Source organism: Homo sapiens, chromosome 8 (genome assembly GCF_000001405.40).
Source record: "Homo sapiens chromosome 8, GRCh38.p14 Primary Assembly".
NCBI lineage: Eukaryota > Metazoa > Chordata > Mammalia > Primates > Hominidae > Homo > Homo sapiens.
Window position 1 is genome coordinate 89,876,806 of NC_000008.11, and position 9,248 is coordinate 89,886,053.

Genomic DNA, 9,248 nt, shown 5'->3' on the forward strand with positions numbered 1-9,248 from the left:
CTCTGGGACAACAATCTCAAGATGTAGTTCACTGTTCTAACTTCCACATTATCCAAGGTCTCATTAAGGGTTCATCTAGGGAAGAAGCCTGTGGGACATTTGAGATATCTGGAAGTGGCTAGGTGTCCTTGCTGTAAACCCATCTGTGTCCTAGGGTAGAGCCCTCCCCCATTTCAGTGAGGTGTGAAGAGTCTTTGCAGAGGGCTTTAGGAATGGACTGTTGTGAGCTTTCCTTCTCACTCCCTGTTCCCATCCAGCCCCTTGTGCTCCCATTACCAACCACATTTCTAAATTTTCATTTGGATTGCTTTATTTCTGACCTAGCTTAGCTAGCCATTAAGCTCTGTCTTATTTATATAATTATGAGGTTGATTTTTAAAAAGTATATAAGGGAAATATGAGTCTTAAATTTTTCTTAAAAAAATTTTTTTCTAGCTGTTTGTCCACGTTTCCATGTTTCAATTTTCAGAACAAATTAGTTTTTCTTAAGACATTCTCTGCAGAAAGACAACACTGCATACTCAAATTCTTTTATTTATTTAAAGATTGTGTCATTCCAGATAAAGAACTTGTTTTTCTGGTAAGAAATAACTTACCTTAAATGAATTCCTTATGTCTCTTAAAGCAGGGAGGAGCCTGATCTCTAATATAATCTGTGAATGTAACATCCATTAGAACACAACATGGTTTGCTTTCCACTCTTTCATTTAAAGAGTTTTATATTAGACCTTGGCCGTATATTTGGAGTGGAGGAAGAGAACTGTGATAGAGATATGGCCATGACCATCTAGCTTTCTCAATGGACAACTGGATTTGATACAAAAAGACCTCAACCCTGAGCCAACCCAAACCTGTAGTACACTGCGGGATAAAAACACAGAAAAGAGCCAGGTGCGGTGGCTCACGCCTGTAATCTCAGCACTTTGGGAGGTCGAGGTGGGCGGATCACAAGGTCAAGAGATCGAGACCATCCTGGCCAACATGGTGAAACCCCGTCTCTACTAAAAATACAGAAATACAAAAATTAGCTGGGCGTGGTGATGCGTGCCTGTAGTCCCACCTACTCAGGAGGCTGAGGCAAGAGAACTGCTTGAACCCGGGAGGTGGAGGTTGCAGTGAGCCAAGATCGGGCCACTGCACTCCAGCCGGGACAGAGCAAGACTCCGTCTCAAAAAAGAGAAAACAAGCAAATGAACAAACAAAAAAACCCAAAGAGAAGAGTTCAGAATGGGACTTACCTGGTTTTGATGTTTAAGTTAGTAAATCCCATGTTTTATGCCTAAATGCTCAACAGGAAGGAATATAATTAAATGTTATGATATAAAACAATAGTGTACACTATTAGGAAATTATTAAAATAAGATTTTAAAAGAATATTTAATAAAATCAGAATTTTAAAAGTATGTGTATATATATCTAGTATATGTTTATATCGGTACATATATGTATATTATAGAAGGAAATATACAAAATATTAACAGTTGTTACATTTAGTGGTATGCTTCTTATATCTCTAATTCTCTTTTATTCTTTCTTTCTTTTTTTTTTTTTTTTTAAAGAGTCTTGCTCTGTCACCCAGGCTGGAGTGCAGTTGCACCATCTCAGCTCACTGCAAACTTTGCCTCTTGTATTCAAGAAATTCTTGTGCCTCAGCCTCCTAAGTAACTGGGACTACAGGCGTGCACCACCACGCCTGGCTAATTTTGTATTTTTTGTAGAGATGGAATTTCACCATGTTGGCCAGGCTGCTCTCGAACTCCTGACCTCCAGTGATCCACCCACCCTGGCCTCCCAAAGTGCTGGAATTACAGGTATGAGCCATCACATCTGGACTCATTTTCTTTTCTTTTTTTTTTTTACAGAAATATATACCCTTTTTCTTAATTTTCTGTAATGACCATATATTACTTCTAAAGTAGAAATTTAAATATATTTTAATGGAAGAGGGTTATTAGCTTAAACATGTTTGAAAATTATAGAGAATAAATGTTTTTAAAAACATTCCAGGCTGGGCATGGTAGCTCACGCCTGTAATCCCAGCACTTTGGGAGGCTGAGGTGGGTGGATCACAAGGTCAAGAGACTGAGACCATCCTGGCCAACATGGTGAAACCCTGTCTCTACTAAAAGTACAAAAATTAGCTGGGCGTGGTGGTGCACGCCTATAATCCCAGCTACCTGGGAGGCTGAGGCAGGGGAATTGCTTGAACCTGGGAGGCGGAGGTTGCAGTGAGCGGAGATGGTGCCATAGCACTCCAGCCTGGCAACAGAGTGAGACGCTGTCTAAAAAAAAAAAAAAAAAAAAAAAAAAAAACCACTCCAGATGTTTGATAAACCCACAATGTCTCTTCCTAATAAAATTCATTTTTCAAGAATTGCTAAACTGGCCAGGTCAGTGGCTCACACCTGTAATCCCAATGCTTTGGGAGGCCAAGGCAGGAAGATCATTTGAGGCCAAGTGTTCTAGACCAGCCTGGGTAATGCAGTGAGACTCTGTCTCTACAAACATTTTTAAAAAAAAATTAGCCAGGCATATTGGTGTGTGCCTATAGTCCTAGCTACTCAAGAGGCTGAGGCAGGAGGATCACTTGAGCCTAGGAGTTTGAGGCTACTGTGTAGCCTGGGCAACAGAGTAAGATCCTGTCTCAAAAAAAACAAACAAAAACAAACAAACAAAAAAACAAGACAATAAAAAACAAACAACCCAATAATGGGCAAAAGATTTGAATACCCACTTCACTAAAGAAGATATATGAATTGCAAATAAACACATAAAAAGATGCTCGGCCAGGCGTGGTGGCTTATGCCTGTAATCCCAGCATTCTTGGAGGCCAAGGCGGGTGAATCACCAGCTCAGGAGTTCGAGACCAGCCTGGCCAACATGGTGAAACGCCGTCTCTACTAAAAATTGAAAAAATTAGCTGGGCGTAGTGGTGGGCGCCTGTAATCCCAGCTACTCTGGAGGCTGAGGCAGGAGAATCACCTGAACCCTGGAGGTGGAGGCTGCAGTGAGCCAAGATCGCACCACTGCACTCCAGCCCAGGTGACAGAGTGAGATCCATCTCAAAAACAAAACAAAACAAAAAGATGCTCAACAATATTAATAATTCATGAAAAGCAAATTAAAACCACAATGAGATGTCACTACATATCACCAGAATGTCTAAAATCAAAAGACTGACTAACATTAAGTGTTGGTGAGGATACTGAGTGACTGAAACTATCATGTATTGCATGTGAGGATGGAAAATGATACTGACACTTTGGAAAAGAGTTTGGAAGTTTCTTATATGGTAAACATACTCTCGGGTGATAACTCAGCATTCCCACCCTTAGGAATTTCCTCAAATAAAACAACATATATGTTTACCCAAAGACCTGTATACAAATGTTTAGTTTTTAAAATTTGTATTTATGAGAGCCCCAAACTGGAAACAACTCCAATGTCCTTTAACTGGTAAATGGGTTGTGGCAGTTCATATAATGGAATTCTATCTCATAATAAAAAGAAGGGCATTCCTGGGAAAGAGGATGCCTGGCACAAAGGCTCAAGACAAGAAATAGCTTGGTGTATTGATGTAACTACTAGGATTTCAGGGTTGCTGGAAGGTTGTGTAAGGGGGTAAGCCATTGTTAAAATAGACTACATACCTTGTAGAGTATGCTAAGGCATAGGGCTTGTATTTTTGGTGAAGGGTATAACTTCTACAACTGGATTTGGGCAGAATAAGATAAGCAGGTAGACACTGAGATAAACAGAAAAGAAAATATTTGTTCAACGAGCACGAGTTGGCATATTGTCAAAGAATCCTAACCTGTACAGGTAGGCTAGGACATCAAAGACAGGGAACAGTGACATCCTTTCGAATTTTCCAGAGACTGTGATTTACATACATAGGACAAGTAAGATCTACATGTGATTCTGTGTAATTTCTGCATGTTTGCATTAGATTTACAGTTTCTCTTTCAATGTTCAGGTTAACACATTATTAAAGTCAGAGTAGTGACTGTATAGACACTCAGAAATTCGATACTTTCCAAGTAATCAAAAGACTATTGAGGGAAAAAGAACATAATATTTTCTTCTGTCAATAGAGTTAATAGGCCAAGTGCAGTGGTTCACGCCTATAATCCTAGCACTTTGGGAGGCCAAAGTGGGCAGATCACTTGAGGTCAGGAGTTCGAGACCAGCCTGGCCAACATGGTGAAACCCCATCTCCACCAAAAATACAAAAATTAGCTGGGCGTGATGGCATGCGCCTGTAATCCCAGTTACTTGGGAGGCTGAGGCAGGAGAATTGCTTGACCCCAAGAGGCGGAGGTTGCAGTGAGCCGAGATTGCACCACTGCATTCCAGCCTGGGTGACAGAGCAAGACTCTGTCTCAAGACAAAAATAAAAAATAGAGTTAATAAAGTTTTAACGCTATTTTACTCCAGGTTTTGGCACTAAAATATATCTTCATAAGATGAAGCTAAGAAGCATAACACATTTCTATGTAAATGAATTACATAGAGTTTATAGGTCACCCTTCAATTTAAGAAATTTGTAGAACAAATAAAGCCCATTAGGATGGGTTGGCCATAGCTATAGGAGTGTCCCAGACAGAAATCTAAAATAGGAAGAAACTGGATCATGGTCACCAGGGAAAAGTTGGAACTAAAGAAGCTGAGGAGCTAGGGGAAGCAGCCATCAGAACTGTTCCCAGAAAGACAAGTTATAGTAATGGAGACTTCTTGCTACGTGCTGCCTTTACACCAAGTTTCCTTGGCAGTCCTGAGTGCTCTGCCTTGGTCTATAGCATCTGAATGGAATAACCAGAGGGCCATACTGGAAGGAAAGAATGCATATCTAAAGGAATGAATAAGTAGGGGACTGACGAGAGAGTGTAAGACAATGAATCAGTTCCAATGGGCTATACCACTTCTCTAAGAATATTTAACTAACTGGACTCATGTAACTTGTGGCCGTGACATGTATGTCTAAACTTAGCTCAAGCGTGGCTTTGTCCACCTTGTGTCCCAATTCTGGTAACTAGGCTTCTATTGAAAGCCAAAACTCTACTGTCCACTTTTACTTAATTCAGATTTAAAAATAGGCCTGCTTTGTTCCATGTGTCAGTGTCAAATGTATTGGTTTTCCTAATAGTTCAGCCTATCTAGAACTTTCTTGGCTTTTGCTAGTCCTACTCTTATGGAATGGAATTCTGACTCTGAGTAATGAATAATTAAATGTAAATGCTTCTGCTAAAGTGGTTTCATTGGCTGTTAACTAGATGCCAAATAATAATAAAGGTATTAAGTATTATGCATACCAGCAGTGAATTCAAGTTCAAAGTTCTGGCTTGAACCTTTTGGAAAAAAAATAATTTTACTGTGCCCGAGGAATGATGGTCATTTAGAAACCACATAATATTATTAGACTAAACTGAGCCAACTATTTCAAGGGGGGTGGGGAAAACGAAAAATTCTTTACTTATCATCACCTTTGTATCCATGATACAAGTAAATGTTATTATAGTGATAAGGAAATGATTAATAAATCCAATCAGAACTCCTAAGAAACAATAATATAATGAAAGATTAGAAAGACTTACAAATATTAAATAAATCAATGAATTGTAGGTTAACATGTCAACACAAGCTGATATTAGAAAGACCCCTTCCTCCCAATACAAACACATGGATCAAATATAATAATGGAAGATTTGGTTGTAATGTCAAGCTTGAAATTGACAGGAAAATCTCCAAACTAAATTCCCTGCATACAACCAGGAGTCGTAAGGGGCTGATCATCCCATGAAATGAAAGAAGCTCAGCCACTGACCCTGCCTAGGAAACTGTAAGGAAGCTTTGCCCTCTGTCTAAAATATTAGGTGGAAAAGAAGTCACCCACTGGAAGCCAGCACCTCCGCCTGCAGGTAACTGTGGAATGATCCTAAACTGAGATGTTTGCATTGTAACTGGTCCAGGTATGGCAAAATCCATCAGCCTAGGCAGAGGCAAATGTGAAACTACACTGTGGTTCAGATTCCATATCCTGAGTACATAACAAGAATGCCCAAATCAACCCCCTGCTGGAGAAGAATTTACAGTTGGAGATTATAATCTGTTTAAGGAAATAAGTGAATCACTGTAAGAAAGTATTAGCCAGACACAACAAATAGGAGAATTTGTAAGCCAAGGAAGAGAAAAAAGGATATAGTTTAGTTGTAAAGATACTTTGAAATAAGTATTTGTAAGGAAGGAAGGAATACAATGACAATGAAAGAACAAGGCTGTATTGTAAGTCAGAGCAGGCAGATTTGTACAGGAGCCAAACAGAATCCTCCTGCAAATAAAATATATACTCATGAGAAAAAAAAAACACTTCAATGGATAGAGTTCAAATCTCTTTTCTTTCATTAGTTTATCTACAACTCTGGTGGTCTTTTGTTACTTAACTCTGGAGATTAACTCTTACATACATGTTTTTTTAAACAGGAAAGACTAATTTCCCCTGCCACCCTGGAATTGCATATGGAAGACTAGATATGCTTTACATCCTTTTTTGGAAATTGATTGCAAACTCTAGTTTTGAGCTCTGGATGCCACACTAAATTTCTAGCATACTTAACATGAGTTTTCATTGATTTCTATTAAATTAACATAAAAATACACACAAGCACATTTCTTGGCACTCTCCCAAAAGGACACCCTTTTCAAATATCCTAGTTATAGTAAAGTAACAGGTAATTATTAGTTAATCAAATCATTATTTTAACTGTGTCATGACTGGTACATATTCTAAAACAAAATTTTAAAAATAACAATTTACATTTATAATTAAAACTATGATTTCTGGTACTTATAAAATCTGTTTTTAGTCGCAGAACAAGGAAAAAATATGGATATTCTAGTAATACTATGCAACTGATAATATCACTATTACATAAATGAAAATTATCTTATTTTAAAAATAGTTTTGCAATTTAAATACCTTAAAATGCCAAGTTAATAATTATTCTCCTACCATAGAAGCATATCAAGAATAAATTATATAATGGTGGAAATTCATGTTTTCTTTCCAAATAACCTTGTATTTGGTATATTTGGCATTACAGTTCTTTTTCAATTCTATAGAGAATAAATGCAAAATTGTAGTGGATGTTCAACAGGAATGAGAGTCTTCCAATAAGTCACTGTTACTTGTTAAGTACCTCTTGTGACTGATATCCAAATCAAGAAGCCATGTAACAATGAATATACATACTATACATATGCAAGAACTGCTAGGTCATACAAACTTTTATTGACTGGGGAGACTAGTCTTTTAAAATTAAAAGAGAATAAAGGGCAAAACAACAAAAATACACTTAAATGGAAAAAAATAATATTAGTGTCTTTATAAAAAGCATCCTACTCAGTGGCATAAATTTAAATTCTGAACGCTCTGGGGGGAAATGTAGGAAATGGGTCCCTTTCCAAATATAATTTTGCATCTTAAAATTCAAAGGACCCATCAGCACTGAAGAAGATTAGGTAAAAAGAACATCAAAAATACAAAGAACAGTTGTATTTATTCTTTTTTTTTTTTGAGATGGACTCTCACTCTGTCTCCCAGGCTGGAGTGCAGTGGCGTGATCTCAGCTCACTGCAACCTCCACCTCCCGGGTTCAAGTGATTCTCCTGCCTCAGCCTCCTGAGTAGCTGGGATTACAGGCACATCCCACCATGCCTGGCTAATTTTTTTTATTTTTAGTAGAGACATGGTTTCACCATGTTGGCCAGGCTGGTCTCGAACTCCTGGCCTCAAGTGATCCACCCAACTTGGCCTCCCAAAGTGGTCAAAGTGCTGGGATTACAGGCATGAACCACTGCGCCCGACCAAGTTGTATTTATTCTAACGCCTTTTTTTAAAAGATAAAACGGATTAAGGGAAGGTAATGTATTTGCAAAATACTGATTGGATAGGTTTATACAGCACCAACCATACAGCAATATTTAAATCAAACTCTGATAAAAAAATGAAAATAATTTTCCAATGGTGAATATTCTTAATAACTTTGCTAATAAAGGCTGAGAGACTGAATATGCAAATGGACAATGGCCAGAACATATATAAAAATCAAACTTTGACCAACAACCTTTAGCAACCTGTCCAGGGAAGCAACCCTCTTATCTACAATAAACAGTCAAGAAAGCCAGTCTGATGTAAGTCAGAATTGCAGGAAGCCAGGTTGCTATCTCTAGTGAAAATCCAGGAAGCTAAACAAAACAATCAGTCCCAAATCGTTAGGACTTGATTAATAACTGACAGCTTCCCTAATTGTTGTCCCCACTTCCAACTTAGAACCAACTAGATAAAGCCAAATATGTACCCTAATCAATCACATACATGCTCTGCTTCTGGTTTGCCTGTATCCAGTACCCCCATGCCAACTGCCTCTGATCAGGGCATCCCAGAAGCTTTTCCACTCTTTTGCCTGCTTTTGAGTGTCCGCCAAAATGCCAGTGAAAACGGCCGACTCCCTTGCTATAGCAAGCTCAGAATAAATAGCCTTTGCTTTTCTCATTTTATTGGTCATCATTTATTTTCACAAATGCATGTAAACAGAAGGTATTACTAAAGTTAGTATTTCATAAAAAGTTAATCATTTAGCTCTTATCATGAATCACACACTGTATTAAATGTTTTTGCACGAGTTATCTAATTTAATTTCATAATAAATATAAAAATTATTACTGAAATTGATATTACTATATTCATTTTACAGATGAGGGTACTGAGGCAGAGAAATATTGAATAATTTGTTTAATACTGAGATAAGGGCCAGTGCAGTGGCTCACATCTGTTGTAATCCCAGGCCTTTGGGAGGCCGAGGCAGGAGGACTGCTTGAGTCTAGGAATTTGAGACCAGCCTGGACAACATAGCAAGACCCTATCTCTACAGAAAAATAAATTAAATAAATAAAATTATAGAAAAAATACTGAGGTTATAAGCAGTAAATCAAGGGTTAAAATCAAGACAATCTGATTCCAAAGGGGATAGCTCTTAACTACTATAGTAAATTGGACTTGAAATATGGAGATAGCTGCATATTTTAATTGCTATCAGAAGAAAATAAAAAACACAAAATTAACATTTTATTGTATTTCAACCTCACATGTGGTCACAAAGTACTATATAATAGAAGAGAAAAAAATTGAATTCATTTATATCAACCTCTTTCTTTTATAAATAACCTAAGTGACACTGAGAGGAATGAAG